The sequence below is a fragment of the Homo sapiens genome, chromosome 5 (genome assembly GCF_000001405.40).
Source record: "Homo sapiens chromosome 5, GRCh38.p14 Primary Assembly".
NCBI lineage: Eukaryota > Metazoa > Chordata > Mammalia > Primates > Hominidae > Homo > Homo sapiens.
Window position 1 is genome coordinate 93,719,846 of NC_000005.10, and position 23,160 is coordinate 93,743,005.

The 23,160-nt window shown below is 36.8% G+C and overlaps 2 protein-coding genes across 22 annotated transcripts in view; both read right to left on the bottom strand.

Annotated features, from left to right (window-relative positions):
- ARB2A (ARB2 cotranscriptional regulator A) overlaps positions 1–23,160 on the bottom strand; it is a 493,975-nt gene that overhangs the window by 102,121 nt on the left and 368,694 nt on the right. The window lies entirely within an intron of this gene.
- POU5F2 (POU domain class 5, transcription factor 2) lies at positions 13,375–21,755 on the bottom strand. The gene has a single exon (NM_153216.2). The coding sequence runs from the start codon at positions 21,716–21,718 to the stop codon at positions 20,732–20,734; it is 987 nt and encodes a 328-aa protein (NP_694948.1). The 5' UTR covers positions 21,719–21,755; the 3' UTR covers positions 13,375–20,731.

Sequence of the window (23,160 nt, forward strand, 5' to 3'; positions counted from 1 at the left end):
AATCCTTTGGTTTCTATTTCAGCACTCCGAAAATTTGTTGAGCTTCTTTTCTCATTTTCCTTATGCTTACTTTTCTAAGCACTTTGGAGTAGGTTCCTCCTCTTCCAGTCTTCAGCACCAAAAGAGATGTGCATCATTTTTGCTGTTTTCCCTTATCTGCTCAGGCCGTCATGCCGTTTCCTTTTCAAATCCTGTCAGGATACCCGTTTATGAATTCTTTGTAAAACCCATCTAATTACTGGACTGCAGTCAACAGCTATCGCTTAATCTTCAATTCTGTTTCCTCATATCCTTTAATTTTAGAAACATAGAACCCTAGAATTGAAGTAGATATTAAAGACGCTTTATTCTAATCTATCCAATGTAAAAATTCCCTCTATCAAATTCTTGAAAAGTGGTTATTAAGCCTTCATTTGACTGCTTCAAAAGACGGAAAGCTTGCCAGTTTACAATGCAGCCCATTCCATTTCTTAAAACAATTCAATCATTATATTGGGCCTCTTTAGTTTCCATAATCCACAATCAAAGCCTTTGTCATAATGTCTATTTAGAACCTAATCTATAGTTCAGGGTTAAGATCAGCTAAATCATTAAATCTTCTCTGAGTTCTTTCGGTGTCATATCTTTAAGATCTGGATGCTATTTATTCAGTCTCAAGAGATGCTTTCCCCCAGTGGTACTGAACATTTACCACCAACTGTGCCAAATAATTCAATAATATAAAAATTTCAACTGGACCATTAAGAGAAAAAATGAAAATCTTCAACTGATACTAGCTCTATAGTTTTCCAAGAAACTGGTCTGCATAAGATGTTAGTAACTTGTGATAAGGTAGTGAGTTGGTTAAAAGTCTAAGACAAGCTCGAATGCTAATATATTAACTTTAACAGAGTGAGAAAACTATATACCCATGAGACTTTATTTCTCTTGCTTAAAAAGTAATTATATTTCAGGCATTTATGATGAGCAATCTGTGTTTTGGTTTTCCTACTTTTTACTTTGTTAAAAGTCAAATAAGTGCCAGACTCACTGTTTTCTTTTTCATTGTGTGATGCCTAACTAAACTGGTAGGTGTATACCCACCTTCATGTGTATATTCTGCTTCTGAAATAAAATGGATGAAAAACATTATATTTAATGTCAACATACCCCAAAGCCTTGTTGTGAAAGGCACAATTTTGAAAAAACTGAATAAATGAATAATATAGTTTACTTTAATAGTATAATCTTAAGATTAAGGAAACAGGCTAATTCTCTCAACTGGTTTAAGTTTCATTGAAAGGGTAGTTTTTAATTTGATAGGTTTGTAAAGGGGGAAGGCAGGAAGCAGAGGGGTGGAACCTAGCGAGGCAGCTCTGTAAGATGAATTGCTGTCAGGGTGAAGCGGCTGGTTACAGTAATAGCTGGAAACCATAAGTGTTACAGGCTTTGAAGTCAGTTCAGCTTTGATGTCTTACTCTCATAGTTAATCGTAAGATAGTATGGAAGGGGCAAAAAAATAAGGCTTTCTAATACTGTGCTTGGTGTCATTGCTCAGGAAATCCTAGCATGAAAAAAGATTGGTGTCTGTGTGAACTTTAAGTGTAGCATTAGTCTGCTCTTTTTTTAAAAAAGTTTTTAAATTATTGATGCACTAATTACCATATTTGTTAGTTTGAGGCAAGTACATGCACATGTAGGAACATGTGTTATTAGAACATGTGAATCAATCAATAAGGATACACATGAATAATTATTTGGGTTTGTTATCATGCTAGGTATTGCTGAGATCAAATTATATAGCTGTGTTTCCCAACGTTGAGGAACTTATTAGCTGAGGACTAGTAATCTTGCTGCAGGAAGTTAAAAATTCACAGGAAGGAGCCTTAGACATCATCTAATCCAAGACCAAAGTCCAAAGAAGATGGCCTGTTCTGGAAACAAGAGATCAAACTGCCAAGTATACACATGAATTAAATAAACCACAATAAATAGATAATATGGAGAAATGAAGGGATAAGAGCATCTTATGACTTCTTGGATAGAAGAAAAATTATAGGAATTTCATGTTTCAATAGAGCATTGTTTCCCTATTAATTTGTGTAACACTTTTATGTATTTTGCTATATGCAGAAACTACCAGCACTACTAAAATACCTAGCATTTCCTTCACCTCAACTCACTTTCTCTATTTGCCTAGTCCCAAACAATAACATCCACTACATGGGTTTTGTGTTATTCTAATACATATTAGAATAAACAAATAACTATTAAAATAAAAAACAGTTTACCTATGAGCCACCAGTGGTGTGTGTATAAAACATGAAGGCGGAGGATTCATGGGAAGAATACATCTTTATTATTTCTTTGGGTACTTAAATAAGAACTATGGATTTAAAGTCTGTGCTCTTAAAGTATTTAAATGTGTCCTTAATGTGTGTTCAGTGACCTAGATAATCTGAATTTAAAATATTCTTTTCTTTGGGGTTGTGTGGTTTGATCCTTCTCATCTTAAAACTTTGTTTAGTTATGGGACCTACTCCAACTTACTTTATGCACAGTAAATAATGTGTACTTTAAAAAAATCTATAACGTATATCATAATAATGACAGCCTGAGATTAAGACTGCAAAATAAAAAGCTGAAAGGGAAAAAGTTTCCTTTTGACTTTTTCTCAATAGTGCTATCTTGCTGCCTGTTGCTTTAAAAGAAAAAAAGCTTTCTAGCTTTTCTAGGTAGAAACTAACTACAGGAACAACATTACATATATTACTTTAATGGGAAAAGAAAAAGAGTGATTAAAGTTCTGGGGCATTCCTCTTGTTTATGTGTTGGTATCACATAAGAGAAGGAAGCCAAAGCCAGATACTAGAAGAAAGGGGTTAACTACACCTCATGGAAGCGAGAGGTTATTCCTCTGTTACATTCTTATCCTTTAACTGCATTAGAATTGACTGTAAACATAAACAAAAGCCACCGGTGGGCAATTAAATTTGAAGAAGTAGCCCATAAAAACTGGAATATTCAGCATGTATAACAATCAGTTACACAACATCTGATTTAATAGTTAGATTTTAAGCGTTCCTCTTACAATACATGTTAAATGTTCTCAACAAATCATATTCTATAATGCAGTAAAATGACAATTTCAATGTAGTCTAAGGCTGGTAGGACAAGAATATTAAAGCAAATTAAACCATAATCTTTCATTTACATTTAGAGGTTAAAAATCTGTAGTCATTTGTGACAAGAGCTTTCAAATGAATTTGCCATTCCCAAAGTCATCTCAGTAGACAGGAAGGAGGAACTTGGCATGTGACCAACAAATTATGAGAGAGCAACACCTCAAGGTTAGAGGGCACTGATGACTTCAACAAATCTCACCAGCTAAGGCAACAGATTAAGCTGGGGGATAGGATGCCCTACAACCTTAACCTGTTAATACCTTTAAATTCTTAAGACTGACCTCTAGTCTGCTCTTTCATATTAGTTGTTAGTTACACTAATTACAGCTTAACTGGTATTGTTGGCACCAGTTTTTCTCCCAAAAGACATGTAGAGAAAGGTTATCTCTAATAGCTTCAAATAACTTCAGCCAAATTCTGTTGTGCACATGAGGAGCACCTACCTCCAGTTTTGAATGGGTCTTTTATAGACATCAAAGCTAAGACACTAAAAGCAATGTGTGTTTGTGGATTCTATAAAGCATTTCATAAAGGAAGCTGTAAAAATAAGAACAGTAACTTCTGTAACTAGAACTTTAGAATGGTTTAAAACAAGGTAATTTGTTTTATTTTTTAATATTTATTTTCAACAAACAGTGGCTGGTGATGTCATATACAAGGAGCTAGTTATACCTTATCGATGCTAGTGAAGTAAAAATACTTGGCCCATGAAATCCCGTCAAAATTTATGGTTTTTAAAAAGGGATAATGAAATTTCTATCACGACCTTTTAGAGCTGTTTTAAGTTCAACATTTACATTGATGTTAACCTAAGATTCCATGGAGTTGTGCCTAGGATTCCAAAGCCCATTTACAAAGATTCAAATACCATCTGTGAAGCTGCTGTAAATTACTCTGTAACATTAATCTTTAAACAAGGCACTAAATCAGAGTAGAAACATACCACAGAGATTTAGAGCAAGAGTCATAACTGAATTATTGAGATTAATGTAAATAGCTTCACGTATAAGAATTGCAGGTTCTTAATATCAGACTGTTTTTGCTTTGAATGAAACATAAGATTTCTTCTAAATCTTAAAAATAAATTACTAATTTCTAAATGACACTGACACTTTTTTTTTTCATGCAAAAAGAAGAGTAAAAATGATCGGTGAATGGAGTTGTTAACCTAAGGGTGCTCCGAGTTAAGAAATATATTAACAAAAATCTGATGATGCAAAATAGACACAGTAGGGAGCAATTAACATTACCAAAAGAAACTTCATTTTACAAAAGGGAATCTTTAAACCAAGCCTAGTCTTCTCAAAAGACGTCCGCCAACAGATACTTGACTTAAATGAACTCTTTGGGGGAAACAAAGTCCTGTAACAGTCAATTATAGTATCACGTGTCATCACATCCAAGACACCATTGATTATAAGATTCATCATTGCTTTTTATATCATTTCAAAAGAAAAACATTGCCAATTAAGCTATGGCATGATGCTTTCTTATCACTTATTGCAAGATGTATTCAAACTTTAGCTAGTTAAAATTATGTCTTGTAATTAATGAAATAAAATATTTTATGATAAATTGACTTTTCTATCAATATATCAAATGATGAAACTGTTTTTGTGAGAGCAAGCTAATTTTGAAATATAGTCACTAGGTGATACAGTAATCCTCCCTTATCCCCCAGTGGATGCCTGAAATCATGGATAGTACCAAACCCTACATATACAGTGTTTTGTTTTATGCATACATACCTATGATAAAGTTTAATTTATAAATCAGGCAGAGTAAGAGATGAACAACAGTAAGTAATAATAAGATAGAACAATTATCACAATATGCCATCATCACTACTCTTGCCCTTTGGGGTCATTATTAAGTAAAATAAGGATTATGTGAACACAAACACTATGATACTGCCACAGCTGATACAATAACTGAGACAGCTATTAAGTGACTAATGGGAGGTTGGCATATATGGAGTGAATATGCTGGACAAAGGGATGATTAATGTTCCATGAGGGACAGAGTAGGATAGCGTAAGAGTTCATCATACTACTTAGAATGATGCACAACTTAAAACTTAAGAATTGTTTATTTCTGGAATTTTCCATTTAATATTTTTTGGCCATGATTGACTGTAAGTAACTGAACCTGTGGAAAGCAAAACTGCAAATAAGGGGGGAACTACTGTATTAAATAAGTTTGCTCTACATAAAGCACTGAAAGAACATTAACCGTATATTTTCTACCTTCTCTGAGGATATAAGAGGAAGAACAGTAGCTGGTATAGTGATTTTAGTTTGCTTGACTAATTTATGGACGAATTAATACCCCTATCTCTTTCCACTAGGGATTTAAGGCAGACTACAAGAAAATCATAAGCAACAAAGTTATTTCAGAAATGAAAAACAGAAAATCAGAACTGCGGAAAAGAACAAAAACAAGAGCATTGTAAGAATTTAATTAGATATAAACATAATTTATGCATAACAATCTAGGTTCTGGATATTTATTTTTCACTGCAATTTCAAAATAAAACATGTTTATCAATGAGATTTTAGGGATTCCTTTGCCTGAAGCTTAGGAACAAATGAGATGACAAATGCAAGGACCTTGCTAATCCCAAAGAATTTCTATAAAACAGATTATTACAATCTACTGTTACTTGTTAAAAAGATAGATACCAAATGAAAGTATGATCAAGACAGAAATTAAATACTGGTAAGAATAACCCCAAAATATTAGCAGCTCTCCCTTAAAAAGATTAAATTGGTTGTACCAGAAGATAAAATAGGATTAATATGAAGAACTAACAGACTAAGTCTCCGTATGCTTACATGTCCTCCTGGTCTGTGGTACCAATGCCAGTAAGCTATCTTAGGATATAGGTAGGTGGATAAGGGGGCTCATGTCAGAGATTACAGGTTCTGAATGAAATGAACAGTACTGCAAGAAGGCCCTCCACATAGCAGGCCTCAGGCTTTATGTGGTAATTGGTTGATACAGCAAAAATGACTTGGGGCACTGTGCTAACATTGAGGTCTATTTCAGAATCATAGATTCGAACATCAGTCAAGTGATGGATCAGTTCTAGTGTTTATAATATTGGATCTTCCTATGTGCAATATCCTACACTTTCTCTTTTCTCTGTATCAGAAACCTGAGATCTAATTGTGGCCTGTATATTAAATTTTTCAAGAAACTGGAAAAATTGACACAAGGACGATGGTGGACATATTCAAAACTCTTCTCTGGGGAAGCATTTCTCTTCAACTCCATATAGTCTTCACTGGGCTGTCAACTATAATACCATGCCCTACCCCCAACCCCCTCATAGATATGGGTACTGGCTCAGGCTGGCCAATCACAGCCTGCCCTAATATGTGACCTCTTTGGCTTCAGTGATAATTAGATGCTAGGGCAGAGAGAAGGCTGTTTCTCTAGGATTATGCTGAATAGAAGTTGCTGCGACTGCCTGTAGGTACTCTGCCTGTTTGTTTGAAAAAGCCCTTTCTGTGAGAAAGAAAGAATGAGGCCAACAGGCAAAGAAAAGTACAAAGAGAGATGGAAGGAGTTTGGATGACAGAGTTTGAGTCCCAGGATCTACTGATCCCAGAAGTAGATCTACATCTGGGGTTTTCAGTTTACATGAATCAATACTTTTTCTTTTTTGGTAAGAAGCTTGAATTGGGGTTACGTAACTTAAAATGAAGAGTCTGTACTAGAGTACAGTAACTGAAATGAGTAGATTATATTCAGCTTCTTTTTCAGTGCTCTAAAACATGAGCTTGATATTCATGTATTCATGTTTGAATTCATGTCTACATATTTGAATATGTAAAATTACTATACAGTAAATTATAATAGTGGCATTTTAAAATGCTAATATGTGTTTAAGGGCAAGAAGTTTCTAGATTATCCATGTAAATGCTGTAGATCACTAAAAGTGGTAGGCAATCCAAAGTTATTCATATTCAGTTTTCTAATACTTTATAATAATGATGGAAGGAGGGGTAGTGGGAGAGAGGGAGTTTATTCTCCTGATTATGTTTTTCCTGGCATAATTAAAAGTAGTTTGCATTTGCTGAGAAGATACTAGTTTGGTAGTGGGAAAAAGTGGCATAGAAAATATACCAGGAAACAAGGAAAAGCTAGTCTAAGATTATGGTTTTTTTGTGGATAATTTCCCAAATAAACAATGTATTCATAAACAACTGAAAACTAGGTATAGCTATCTCTCTTGGGTAAGAGAGCAGAAGCATTGGACAATAACAGGGTTAGTACATGCTTTTACAGAAGACAATGTGAAAATTCATTCTGGAAAAGCATTTACTAACCCTTTTAAAATATAATATTTAAACTACAACATGTAAACCATTTTAAGAGCTGGTTGGAAAACAACTCATCTGGCATTATGATTTGGATGAGCTATATTCTACCTGAAGTTGAGTTACAAATAACTCAAAAACCCTCAGTGTTCTCAGAATAATTACTTAACTTCCATTTTCTAAATATTCTTATTAAATTCCAACATATTTAACTTTTAGGAACCTTAAGCTATGAGGGTATATACCTTCTGGCTCTTCTCTGTAGATGGTAAGGGTCTGAAAAGGCAATTGCCCAGTGGAATGCACTAAACATGAGTCCACTACCTTGAGCAGACCTCTCAAAATTATTCACCTAACATGTTTCATTATATACACTTTGGGGATTATCAGAAGTAAGAGATATTCTTAAGAAATAGATCTATCAGTGCTGGGTTCTAATAGATTTTTGGCCTATCTGCAAAAAAATTCACCTGCTGAAACAATTTATGCTAAAAAGTGTCACTTGTATTTAAAAACAAAGTATGGTGTCAGGACTCATGTGTTTATTCATAGCCACTGACACCAGTGAGTCTGCATGACTTGGGGGAAAAATGAATCTTTTCAGAATTCTGCAGTTTTATATGGACTCATTTTAGAAACTGGACTCTCATTTTAGAAAGTTTTATAAGGATCAATATATACATTAAGGATTTCAGTATTCACAGATGGAAGCAACAGCGGACTTAATAATTACTAAAGATATATATATACGGTTTTCTCATTTCACAAAAAAGTATAATTAAGAACTGCATTGTTCTTTATGCCTAAATAGTTTTCAATAATTCTTACAAAGGTGGTTGGTTTTTTTTTGTTGTTGTTTTCAGAATGATTCTGACCAGGAGTATATCAATCATTTTAATTTCATATGAGAATAAAATGCAGAAGAATTATCTTAAGTCAATTGTTTGATATAAAAATGTATTGATATCTATTTCATCTCCAGTATCGTGCTAGGCATTCTCTCATATAATGAGCTGTGAACAGAACAGTTTGACTGTGTTCCATGATAATCAACAGAGTTTCTAATCAGATACATGTTTTTGCAAATGAAGGCAAGAAGGCTTTTACTTAAGAGATTGTCTTGTGTCTGGTGGTTTCTTCAATTTCCAACACTTTTCAGTAGTTTATTTATGAGATTATAATAAACTTAAAGAAACTGATTAACAGTTTTTTTTAAAATCAAAAGCCTGATGGAGACAATTGACTCTTGATAAGAACAGGCCAGTGGATCTGCTAAACCATTAATTTCTCTGGACTTGCTGATCCATGGTGCCAAGGCAAACCATCGAGAAGCTTTACACCAGTACTAAATTACATTAGTTCCTGGAAGAAAGGCCGTTAGAACCTTAGAACTTAGTATTATGACTTAGGCTATTTGACATAAGTCAATATAAAAACCAGTCACAGGAAGAATTATTTTTTGTCTTGAATGACAACAACAACATCATTAACAAACGTACTACAATTAAATAAATGATCTATTGTGTTGTTCAATGTCTTTTTGAAAGACTGATATATTAATCTTTAATGTTAAGAAAATATTTCTTCTCATGCATTTTGGAAGGCTCAAGTAATTATATACTGAGAACTATATAACTTTTTGGCTATGGCTGTATTTTTACCACTACATTTAACTCTTTATTGCAGTAACAAATTACAGTCCAGATTTTCAGTCAAAATAAACTCCCTTCACTTTTCCTCCCCTTCCTGACTTTTGGTCATGTCTCTCTTGCTCTCTGTCTGTCTTTCTCTCTCTCCTCACCTCGCTCCACTCCTAGTTATCCTTTACGTTGTTCCCCGTTCTTAAGAATGTTTCCATATATTTCCACTGAGTTCTTTGCTCCTTTCTTTGTGTTGTTCCTCTGCCCATTCCTCTAACACTGGCCGCTTGGTGATGTAATCCTTGATTTTCTCACTTCTTTCCTCTCTCAAGCTTATGTGCTTCTTGTCTAATTCTGAATCTTTAGTGCCTAGCCCTTAACAGGTGCTAATTAGATATTTGGTCACTGAGGATGAAGTATAGAGGTACAATGTTACTGCTTACATGAATATGAAGATGCAGAGCCTGGCGGAAAATCAGGAGTTGGTTTGGGACCACAGCAAGGATGTCTGGGAAATGGCCAAACATTGCTATGGTGAGTATCATCATTTTGCTTGTTGTGTCCTGGAGTATTACATATGGTCTACATAGCCCATATTTCAAATAATATACTTAAAATATGTATACTGATATGTGTATGTACGTTTTTAGGAGAACAACATAAATGAGAAATCAAACAATTGCTTATAGTTTTAAAAGTTAATAATATTTGCAGGAAAATTAGCAATATAAAATGTCTAGTTAGATAATGTAATAAAATGAATATGCATATCTGTAATTAGGATAGGTAGTTTTATGGTGAGTCTTAGAATGCACATGAGAGTAAACATGCTAAAGATTTATAAGATGTTCCACTGAATACATGGAATCGTTGTTGTCCTCATTAAAACAATAATTAAAAAATCTACACTTACATTTTAGTAGAAAGTGGTATTTCATTTATATATGGTTTTATTTCAACTGTAGTATCACTGGATCAACTGTGAGAAAATATTTAAATCTCGCAAATTCAAGCACCTTCTGTTTCTTAAATGTTCACATGGTGTATATATGTGCACAGAGAATGTTCACTAAATAAATTGTTTACTGACTAATGCAAGAAACTCAGTTTAAAAATAAAAATGATACAATTTTTTATGGAGCATGCCATTTCTGGAAACTCAAATAAAAAGGATAAAGATGCTTTCACTTCTCATTTAAAGTGTTACATTTTTGTTAGTATTTTACTTAAAATTTCTTGGCCCAGAAGACAAAAATTTATGGCTGCAGATTAACTACTTTAATGATGTGACACAGAAGCAGCAAAACGTTCTTTTTTCCCTATGGTGTTGGAGTGATTGGCTTTTCAGGGGAGTAAAGAATAACACACTAAATCCCTGTATGGGGAGTCTTTTTTTTCCCCCATCTCTTCTCTTTGGTTTAAATGTCAAAGGTAATACATATTTAGCAAGCAGACTGGTGCCAAAAAAAAATGTTTGAAATGAGGTGATCATTTATAATATCTGTATTATTTAATGGTTGATTATTACAGAAATATTTACAGTAAATATATGTAAAAAACTTAAGAGTCTACTTGGATTTAGCAATATTATTAAAACTGTTTAAGAAAACAGTCACTGTCTAAACTTGTTCTCTTCTGTTTTAGCTCTGCTTTTCATAAACACAATGACAAATTAAAGGCAAGTCACCTGACTGTTCAGTACATTAGCTTGATAAACTTAGTGGCTGACAATTCTTAGCGAAAAGTGACACAGCTTTCTTAATAAGTTCACATATCAACTTTTCTGGGGAAATTTAAGAATCATATCTCTATCAAAATATAAAAATTTTCTTCCTAAGTGAGACTCTCATTTTACTGATGAGAGTTCAATTGTCCTGCTCCGAAAATACAGATAAATAAGAAGTTACTGTAATTCTTCAGCCCAGAAGGTTATTGGTTGGGAGAGAAGAAATTTTATTTTTTGTAAAATTTTCCTGAGAAGATAACCCTAGAATGGTGGTATTATTTGAATGCAGATCTGGGACTATTTGACTCTGTGGCTAATACTCTTTCCTTTCCATCATACCACCTTATTTAACTCCTTTGTAGGAAACAACAAAGTCTCTCTGCCTTTCCAAACCTATCCCTGATCACCTATTTTTTCCTCTACAGTAGGGGTAGTAGGTGTTATTGGGTGAATTGTGTCCCCCACCAAATTTATGTGTTGAAGTCCCAAGCTCCAGTATCTTAGAATGTGACTGTATTTGGAGATAGGATCTTTACTGAGGTAATTAGGTTAAAATGAGGTCATTAGGGTAGGTCCTAATGCAATATCACTCACAAAAAGAGGAAATAGGGACACATACATATACAGAAGGAAGACAATGTAAAGATACAGCGAGAATACAGCCATTTACAAGCCAAGGAAAAAAACCTGGGCCAGATCCTTCCCTCAAAACCCTCACAAGGAACCAACCCTGCCCACAAACTCATCTCAGACTTTTAGCCTCCAGAACTGCATGAAAATAAATTTCTGTTGTTCAAGCCACCCAATCTGTGGTACTTTGTTTGGCAGTCCTAGAAAACTAACAGCGTGGCATGCTGAAACAAATTCTCTTTCAATTAAAAAGGTATATGTTAAGATTTTCCACTACTCAATCAATAATACTCAAACTTTTAAAGCAGATCTAGGAACATTATCATCCATTCTAAAATAATGAATCAACCCATTGCATCTTATACACTGTCCTGGCCACTCAACCTAGTCCTAGAAGATGGTCTACATTACACATCCTGAAAGGAAAAGGAAGACTACTTGTTAAGCAATACAGTTATTCCTTTGAAGAAGAAATGACATTCAGGCTGCACAGTTTTAAAAAAGAATATTGATTTTTAAATGCAGTGAAATCTCAGGAAGGCCCCATCGTTTCCTTTTCCAACCACAGTCTTTGGCAATAGAAGAGCTGATAGCAGAAAGTGAAGCTAGTTTGTATTTTGTCATTTTGTTGGAAGCTGCAGGAAGAAAACCTAAGTCCAAGGTTCAAGACCGAAGTAGCTAATTCTGCCTCATAGCTATGCTCCTAGCTGGAAAGTGAGGTGGCACAGTGGCAGCTTAACAGACTGTTTTCTAGAGGTAGCCCCTTCGATAAACCATGTAGCCTCTCCCAAAGCTTCCTGTCATGTTTCTGTTCACTGGTGTCGCCATGATCATGCTAATGACTTGTTTTAAGGATTTCACTGGGTATTGGGGTGGATTCAGTTCATGACAGTTCATCTTTCATCTGGCTGGGGATGTAATCACAGGAACTGACCTTGCCTTCCAACTTAGAAATCCATAGAGCTCATTTATATTCATTTGGTTTCTTCAAAAATGACAAGCAAAGAAGATTCTACTGTGTTAAAATCAGGATTTTGATATTTTCAAATGCTTTTTAAAATTGAAAAGTGAACATTCAGAAACATGAAAATGATTTGGGCTTACATTATGTTCTAAATATGGGTTAACTACAGAGGTATATAAACACACTAATTGTAATTGTAAATTACCATGTTGTGCAGAAAAACAGACATATGGCAGGTGTCTTCACTCACTGTGCTACACTGAAGCTCTTTAACATTAATGGGCCTCTGATTAAAAAAAAAAAAACCCAAACCTTAATTTTTAGCAATGTTTTTCTCATGTATATGGCTCCGTACTCCCCCATTTAGATAATTGCCTTTCTTTTACAGAAACTAAAAATGTGACTAAAAATGAATAGGTCACATTTACTCTTTTAAATATGGCTTTGTAAAGAGAAATTACTACTTTAGAAACAAAGAAGACTAGGAGAATGTGTATCTTTTGGAACTCTAGATCTCCTAGAGCCTTCCTTTAAAAATATTTCTTGGATGTTTAAAATTGTATAATAAATACATACAGCAAAAATTCTAAAAAAAAAATCACTAATAATTCCAATACCTGTACATACATTTATATTTTTTTCTCTATGTAATATATCTTCTAAAAATGGTATAAAGTTTAATAAGTTGTTTTGCTTCATTCAACAATTAACTCTGAACTTTCTATCAAAACTGTGGTTTTATAATATAATTTTAACTTTCTATCATGTTTAATTTTATTTACTTAACCCTTTGTTAAACATTTAGGTTGTTTCTAATTTTTTGTTGTTAAACTTTTTAAAAAATTTCTGCATGACCACTCTTTTTGCTAAATCCTTACACACACACACAAACTTATTTTCTTTTCTTTCCTTTTTTTTTTTTTTTGAGACGGAGTCTTGCTCCATTGCCAGACTGGAGTCCAGGGGCATGATCTTGGCTCACTGCAACCTCCGCCTCCCGGGTTCACGCCATTCTCCTGTCTCAGCCTCCTGAGTAGCTGGGACTACAGGCATGCATCACCACACGCAGCTAACTTTTGTATTTTTAGTAGAGATGGGTTTTTACCATGTAGACCAGGATGGTCTTGATATCTTGACCTTGTGATCTGCCCGCCTCAGCCTCCCAAAGTGCTGGGATTACAGGAGTGAGCCACTGCACCTGGCTACACACAATTATTTTCTTATAAAAATTCTTAAAAGTTGAAATGATGGGCCAATGGAAATGCACATTTTAAAAGATTTCCATATGAATTACCTAACAGCCTTTCATGAAGGTTGCACCAATTCACTTTCCAATAAATAAATATTTGTTTACGTTATTTTGCCCATAACCACCACCACCGTCACACTGTTAAATAATTGGCCACCTAAATCTTTACCTTCGAAATTTCCTTAACTATCTTCCTAAGTTTTATTCTTTCAGTTTAGAATCACTTTGTCAAGGACATTTCCACTAGGTTTAATTGCAATGGTTTTGTAGTTTTCACTTTAAAAACACAGTTTGACATAAATAACACCATTTTGCATTCTGAAAAGAATTAATCTTGAATAGATTTTGCCAAGAAAACCAATACTGTTTAGTAGGCAAGACTATTTCTAGAAGAAAGGCATAAACAAAAGTGGCTATTCTGAAAAACAAATCCCCATGAGACAGACTTGGTATAATAAACAAGGATATACAGTATATCTCTTTCAAAAAAATTAAATTATCGAAACAGATGCTAATTCAAGAAAAAGATCATGCTTTGAAATAAGGGCAGGTATCCAAACACCTCATGATTTCTTAGAGAATAAGAAAACTTCTAGGAAAAAGAGAAATTGTTCCTTATGATAAGATTTTAATTAAAGTGCCAAGGATTGATAAAAGTGTAAGAACAAGAAAGGCAATAATCAATACATTATTTAGTCTGAACTTACAAGACTTATGTAAAATGCAACTCAGGGCCTTCATATGACACTGAGCTGGTGATATCTAGAAAATATAGATTCAAAGAAAACCAGAAATTACCTATTATATAGGTACTGTCAAAAGAAATCATTTGAAAAAGTGGCAAAAGGGAAGGTGCTTCTTAAATTCTGAAACTGTAGATCTAAAGAAGAGCCACGGTCCTCTTTGAATATGTGATGAAGGCTATGAACCATCTTTAAAGAAAATGCACATATGTACAAAAACATTATTCTGCTTATACTCTAAAGGGGCTCAGCATCTTCAGATTAAAAATACTTGCCTTGTCTATAGGAAATACAAGATAACCAAAATGTTTGATAATGAAACATTTTCAGAATGACAGTGAAGATCTATTGGAGTCGGGAGTTGAAATTTATTTTTAAAATTAAGGCAGGGGAAAATCTGGGCAAATATGAAGACTTTGGAGTGTTTGACATCTGCCTTTACTAATTATGCCACTGAAATTATTACTAAAGGTATCAATGGCATCTTAGTTATTGAAATGATATGGCTTAGTAGATTTCTTTTTCTTTTGCTTTTTTTTTTTGAGACAGAGTCTCACTTTGTTGCCCAGGCTGCGATTCTACTGCCTCAGCCTCCTGAGTAGCTGGGATTAAGGTGCACACCACCATGCCCGGCTAATTTTTGTACTTTTAGTAGAGACGGGGTTTCACCATGTTGGCCAGGCTGGTCTCGAACTCCTGACCTCAAGTGATCTGTCCACCTCGGCCTCCCAAAGTGCTGGAATTACAGGCATGAGCCACCGCACCTGGCCAATGTATCTTGGTTGATTTCTTATGTTACTTGATCTCTGTAACATTTAACATTGTTAACTACTTAACAATATAGTCTTGGTTTTCTCCCAACTCTAAGGGTAGTTATTCTTCTGTTTAAGGGATCTTCTGATTAAAGTTTCTACATATCATCTTAAATCTCTGAAAAATCTGAAATCACTTCAGTATGAAGTTTTCCCTAAGGTCCAGCCTTTTCTCTTTTCACAGCAAGTCAAGAGATCTAGTGATAGAAAATCTTTTAAATTATGTGAAGCTGATTAGTGACACATAGAGGCTTTGCCTAAGCAGAGGTGGGGCAGCTGTGTCAATGATGCAGCTATGCGGGGGCTGAGATGGACTCTAGGAGCTGTTCCCTGAGATTGAGAGCTCATCACAATTTCTCCACATCTGTAGAGGCTGCAGAAGAACTGAAGGAGCAGCTGAGGTCAGTGCCTCTTTACAGCTCTTATGTTCACAACACAATCAGAGTTGTTTATTCTGGCATTCAACATGGTCTGACTCTGCTGAAACATCTCCTTTCTAAGGCTTTCCAGAAGGGCTGTCTAGGAAAAGGAGGAAATGGAGTTGGTGCTGTGTGACTTTTAATGGGATAATCCAACAGCAAGTGATTAGTCACCTATAGAATCTAAAGCTAAGCAATTAGGATTTGGCTTTATTTTCACTAACTTATGTGGATCCTCAGTGCTCTACCTTTAGACACTGACAAGAAGAAAAAGCATACATTTGTTAAGCTGGGTCCCTGTAGCTTGTGTGGAGGAAATGGTCTCACTGTGATGTTGTAAGCTGGGATCAGAGACCCAGGCACTAATTCAGATTCTTCTGCTTGATGATGTTGTGGATTCACTGTAGTGAGTTTGGTCCAAGAACCAGAAGAAGCTTAATATCTCCAAACATTCTCTTAAATGGAAGCATTAAGAGCAGACATTAAGTTTTTCTTGAGCACTGATGTAGCCCTAAGGATAAAAAAGCTGTAGTGTGGAATTCATTTCCACACTTTTTATCCAGTGCCGTATTTTGGGCATTGTCATCAAGGACGCTGGACCATGGGAAGCTGTGCTGATATATACGGTTCATTTACACTTGCTTTGTGGCCATCATATTTCCAATGTGATTCTATATTCTTGAGTAAATAAACTGGGAACTCAAGCTAATCTTATACAAGTGTATATGTGTAATCTTGATACACCTCCATTGTCCACCTGAAACAATACAGCTTATAGGTGTGTTCTGAAAACTAAAGTTGTTACAATTTGTTTATAATTAAGTAATCTTTTTAAAGAGTTAGAAGAATGTAAGTGCAGCATTAATATTTACTTGACTTTTGTTTTTAAAGTACTTCACCAAAAGTTCATTCCTGAAAGCTGAGCTACATCTGGGCTACTTCATGTTGTGGACTATGGAAGATCTGGTTTAAAACTTATTTTCATCACCCCGGGTGAGTCATTTACTCTTACACAAAGATGTCATGAGAATGAGATCCCTCAAAACAGAAAAATAACCACCCTTAGAGTCGGAGGAAAAAAAAAGTTTAGGTCTCTTAGGTGTGGGTGCAATGGTGATGGTAGTACTGGGGAAGGAAGTAGTGGTACTGGTAGTTAGCATAATCTTATGAAATAGTCATAGGATTTCATATTTCCCTTAAGCATTTTTCATTTATTCCAGAGAAACTGTCAAAAACCCATACCCTCGCATATAAAACATTCAATAACCTAAGAAAAAAGGAACTTCCTCAACATGTAGAGTACGTATGAAAAAGCCAGAGCTAATGTCATACTCAATGGTGAAAAGACTAAAAGTTTTTCTCCTAAGAACAAAAACAAGACAAGGATGTCCTCTTCTGCTACTTTTATACAACACAGTACTACACATTTTTGCCAGAGCAAGTGAGTAAGAAAAAGAAAGGGTATCCAAATCGGAAAGGAAGAAGCAAAACTATCTTTATTCACAGATGATATGATTTATATGTAGAAAACCCTAAAGAATGCACCAAAAAACTGGTTAGAACTAAATCTGCATAAGTCGCAGGATACAAAATCAACACAGGAAAATCAGTTGTATTTCTATCCATTAGCGATGAACAATTTCAAAAGGAAATGAAGGAAACTATTCCATTTACAGTAGTATCCAAAAGAATAAAATGCCCACAAATAACTTTAAGAAAGTGAAAGGCTTGTACACTGAAAACTAAAACACTGCTCAAAGAAATTAAAGAAGACATAAGTGGAAAGACAGCCTGTGTTCATGGATTGGAAGACTTAAAATTGCTAAGATGACAACACTCCCTAAAGCAATATGAGGGTTCAATGCACTCTGTAACAAAATCTCAATGGTGTTTTGGGCAGAAATGGAAAAACTGATCCTAAAATTCCTATGAAATTTCAAGTAACCCACAATGGTGTGTGTGTGTATATATACATATGGCATGTATATATATGCCATATATATATACGTGCCATATATATATATATGGAAGAACAAAATTGGAAGACTCACACTTCCCCATTTCAAAACTTACTGCAAAGCTACAGTAGTCAAAACAGTGTGGTACTGGCATAAAGACAGACATATAGACCAACAGAAGAGAGTTGAGAGCCCAGAAATAATCCCTCACATGTGTGGTCAACTGATTTTTGACAAGGGTGCTAAGATCATTCAATGCAGAAAGAACATCTCCTCAACAAATGGTGCTGGGAAAACTGGCTATCCACATGCAAAAGAATGAAGTTGGGCACTTACCTCATACCGTATACAAAAATTAACTTGAAATGGATCAAAGTCCTAAATTTAATAAATAAAACTGTAAAATTCATAGAAGAAAACACAGGAGCAAATCTTCATGACTTTGCATTTGGCAACATGAAAAGCCTAAGCAACAAAAGAAAAAATGGATAAGCTGGACTTAATAAAAATTAAAGTCTGTCTGCATCAAAAGATACAGTCAAAAGAGTAAAAGGACAACCCACAGAATGGGAGAAAATACTTGCAAACCATCTATCTGATAAGGGCTTAATATCCAGACTCTATGAAGAAAAGACAAACAACCCAGTTTTAAAAATAGGCAAAGGACTTGAATAGACATTTCTTTAAAGAAGATACAAAATAGACAATAAGCATATGAAAAGATGCTCAACATCATTAGTCATTAGAGAAATACAAATCAAAACCACAATGAGACACCACTTAACAGCTACCAAGATGGCTATAATTTTTTAAAAAATAACAAGTGTTGCCAGGGATATGGAAAAACTAGAACTCTTGTAGATTGCTGGTGGGAATGTAAAATGGTGCCTTCACTATGGAAAACAGTTTGGTAGTTTCCCAAAAAGTTAAGCATAGAATTACTGTATGACTCAGAAATTCCACTCCTATGTATACATCCAAGAGAACTGAAACAACAGATAAACAAATAGATTATTATATGTAAATGTTCATAGCAGTATCATTCACAATAGCCCATTGGCTATTAATGAAAACAATCTAAGTGCCCATCATCAGAGGAATGGATAAACAAAATGTGGTATATATCCATACAATGGAATATTATTCAGTCATAAAAAAGGAATGAAGTTCTGATACACACTACAACACAGATGAACCTTGAAAATGTGCTAAGTGAAATAAGCCAGATACAAAAGGTCAAATGTTGTATGGTTCCATGAATATGAACTGCTTAGAACTGGCAAATTCACAGAAAGGTTACCAGGGGTAGGGGATAGGGGAATGGAGTTATTGCTTAATGAGAAGAGTTTATGTTTGGAGTGATGGAAAAATGTTGGAAATGGATAGTGGTGATGGTTGCCTAACATTGTGAATGTAATTAATGTCACTGAATTTACACTTAAAATCATTACAATGGCAAATTTTATATTTTATCACACACACAAAAATAGGCAAAGGTAAAGTTTCTACAGTCTCATGAAGAAAAGATTAAATAAAAAGCTTAGTCACACCTGACTTGTGTGACAGTAAAATTATCCCTGGACTTGAGGTCAGAAGATCAGAGTTAACTCTCGATCTCTTGACCTTGTGATCTGCCTGCCTTGGTCTCCCAAAGTGCTGGGATTACAGGCATGAGCCACCATGCCCGGCCCAGAGTTAAGTCTCTTATTGGGCTCCTGGTTTGCACTCTTGGGCCCACAAGAGTTATTCTCTATACAGCCACCAGAAAAAAAAAGAAAGAAAGAAAGAAACTAAGTACTCATCTAAAAATTATCTAAAAAAGAACAATGAAAGAAACCAGAAGAAACTAGGAAAAAATTAAGAAGAATGAAGTAAAAATTAATTAACTAGGGAATAAAAATTGTAGTAAGTAGAATAAGTAAAAAAGCTTATACTTTGAAAATACCTATAGATAAAACATTTGCAAGACTGATCACAAAAAAAGCAAACATTGACAAGATTACTATCCAGAAATAAGACATAAACTCTGATATAATACATACTGATAGAATTCTAGGACAATAAATAGAGCATGCAGGTGTGTGACAGCAGATTTGAAAACACAGAGGTACTAAATGGTTTCCATTTAGTATATGGTGACCAAAATTGACCAAAGTAGAAGTGGAAAACTGAAAAGACCAATTTCAGAGATGAAATTAGAAGAGTTATTTGACGTTTAATGGCAAAAACCACCAGGGAAGTTTGGATAAACTATTACAAATATCCTCTCAAAACCATTATAAGAGATCAAGAGAAAGTAAGGGAAATTCCCAGGGAACCAAATAGAGGTGAAAACAGGAGGAGTAAGCTACAGCTGGGACCGAAGCTCTGAAGTCCAGCTTGCCAACCTCAGTAACAAAGGAGTTTAGAATACAGTGACTGTGGCAGGACAAGACATAGTCCCATGGGACTACATAAAGTAGGGAGAGGAACTGAGACCCTGACATGAAGCTGGGGCACCAGAAATGAAAAGGTAAATCAGAAAAAAAAAAAAAAAAAAAAATCTTCCAAGAAAGCTCAGGTGTTTCAGCAAGGGCTCTAGGTGGGCTCTGTGTGTTTCTTCCCTATCACATTCTCAAGTCATTCCCTCAAGATAACTATTATCCTGGATTTTGTGTTTGTGTTTACACAGAGTTCTGCTTGATTTTAAGTAAAAAATTGTATACTAAGGTAGTCTTCTGTGACTTGAGTTTTTCACTTAGTATTGTGTTTATGAAAAAATTTAAACCCTATGTTTACTGATAACCACAAGGAATAACAGACACAATATTTAATAAAAAAAGGAACAAAATATCGAAACCATCTATATACTGTAATGTACCTTTAAACCAATGCTAGGGAAAAACAAAGGGAAAACACAAAACTGCAATAAACTTCATCTTCTCTCCCAGGTTTTTCTTGAACAATTCCCACCCCCATTCCCTACTATGTATCCTTAACTTCTTTAGACAGTGAATGAGAAATTAATACTAAAAGCCCTCAAATGAACCCTAGGGACATTTCCTGGGTTTTCCCTTCTTCTCCCCTCTCCAACCGTGCCGTGAAGGGCAAGCCCCTCAGCCCTAAAATCTGAGGAGGCCCAGAGTGGTGGCTGGGGCAGAGGAGTGGGCTACCCCTGCAGAGTAGAGACGTGTATAGTGGGGGATATCCACTGGGAGCCCCAGTCCCAGGTGAAAGCACACTGGTGCTCCTGGGCAAGGAGGCCCGGCTGTCCCCACAATCTCCCGTGGGGAAGCATCATTGGTTGGTCGACTGCCCATCTTGCTGCGGTTATAGAACCAAACTCGAACCACATCCTTCTGCAGCTGGAGGCACCCAGCAATGTGGCTGATTTGCTGGGGTGTGGGCTTAGGGCACCGCTGGAAGAATTTCTCCAGGCTGTTTCCGATTCGTCGCTCTCTGCTTGCCCGTCTCCACTTCCCAGACTGTTGCAGGATCATCTCCATTTTGCATAAGCCCAGAAGGTTCTCTGCTTCCACTTCCTTCAGCCACTTTTTCAGCAGTGGTCGCAGCTTCCACATGTTGGCGACGCTTAGCTGCTGGGCCTCGAAGCGGCAGATGGTCGTCTGGCTAAGCACCTTCCCAAACAGAGCTCCCACAGCGATCCCCACATCGGCCTGCGAGTACCCTAGGCTCAACCTCTTCTGCCTCAACTCCTTGGCCAATTGCTGCAACTCTTTCAGTATGCCCGAGATGTCCTCTGGCGGCGGCAACTTCGGAATGCTCCGCAGGGCAATGTAGGGCCCCGGGAGGGCGCCTTCGGAGGGGCGTCGCAACCAGTCCCCTGCCTCACTAGCTCCAAGACGGGGCCTGCAGGGTGCTATCCAGCCCCGGAATTCGTGTGGCAGGGGACCCAGGGGAATCCTCCACACGTCAGGGCCTGGGCAGATCCCTGGCCTGACTGCCGGCCAGACCATCACCCTGCCAGGGGCCGCCTGGGTGCTCAACCAGGTCAGAGTGTCAACCCGCAGGGGCATCGGCCCTCTGGGGCCGCCCCCACCACTGCCTGGAAGGGGGCAGAAGTGGTTTGAGGGCCTGTGTCCGGCCATGGGTGGAATGGCACCCGCAGCGGCTCTGGTAGGAACTGATGGCCCTCGAGGCTTCAGAACAGCCACCGGCCCCCTCAAGCCCCGCCCCCCAGTGGGCGGAGAAGGCGTTACAAGCCAAGGGTGCCTGTGCGTAGGCGGGGAAATCTGGTAGATCCATAGGAACTCCTGGGTCCTAGGGTTAAGGGAGTGAGCCCCCTACCCTGACCTTTGCTTCCAACTCCCATAGAGGTACAAAGCTCCCTTGTGGGATTTGCATCTCCAAGCTGTCTGGAGTCCCTTACTCACTGCCTCCATCCCCTGCCTGAATAGAACCCAGGTATTTTCTTATGCCTGTTCAGAAACTCTGGACCCTGATCCCCAGGAGCTACCTAACCTCTTGTCTTCACAAATAATTATTAAATATCTATATGCCAGATATTGCTGGGACGACCCCTCAATTCATAAACTGCCCCCTCACTACTATCTTTATGGTCACAAGTACTGCCAACAGTTCCTCTTTGCACATCCCCAGTCCCTGTGCCCTAAGAAACCTAGGCAACCCTGCTTGAGTTTCTAGTTAACATCAGTTTACTACCTCAGATTCTACCCCCGACCCCACCCCCAAACTGCCAGATTCCACTCCCTCCCTGGGGCAGAACTTTGTAACTAATTCCATGTTTCTTCCCCTAGCCTTGAAGGTCCTTTTGTTTCCCATTCTAACCCAGCTTCTTGGTCCAGAGTTTCCTCAACCAACAGAGATCTAGGTGTGTGTCTTCTCTTTCCCACTCTAGAGACAGGTCTCTGAACTGGCCTGACCCACTGTCCCCCACTGAGGATGCTCCCTGCAATATATGACTCACCAACATCAGGCTCCTTTATCCTTAGGCCCTTATCCCACCAGAAACCCAACAATCTTAATTTGTCCCTCCATCATGCCCCTAGCTCAGGCATCCAGTTGTGGGCCCTGTGTGCAGAAAGCTAAGGAGGGAGGGAGAAAGAGAGGCTCTGACCTCAGTTTCAATGTTTCCTAGGAGGAAGAGCACAATGACCTTGGCTAGACAATCATAGCCCTTCATTCTTTAAACCAACCATGATGTGGCTCTGTCCCCACCCACATCTATTGAAACTGGTCTTCTTGAAGTCATCAGTGATTTTTCAGCTGTCAAATCCAATGGCCTTTTAAAAAATCCTCATCCTGCTGTATCTGGCTATAGTGACAACTCTTCTTGCTCCTTCTCCTTTTAAAATTTACATGAAATGGTGATAACAGCCAAATCTGTATTTCAGTTCTGACTTCTCTTCTGATTTCCAGTTTTGTATTTTTCACTGCCCCAAGTCAAATTCATTATCCACACTTCTAAACCTACCTCTCATCCCGGGACTTTTGAACTAGTTATCAATAACTCAGTCATCCAAGCTTAAACCTAGGAGCTGTTCTTGACTTTTTCTGTTCTCCACAGGGT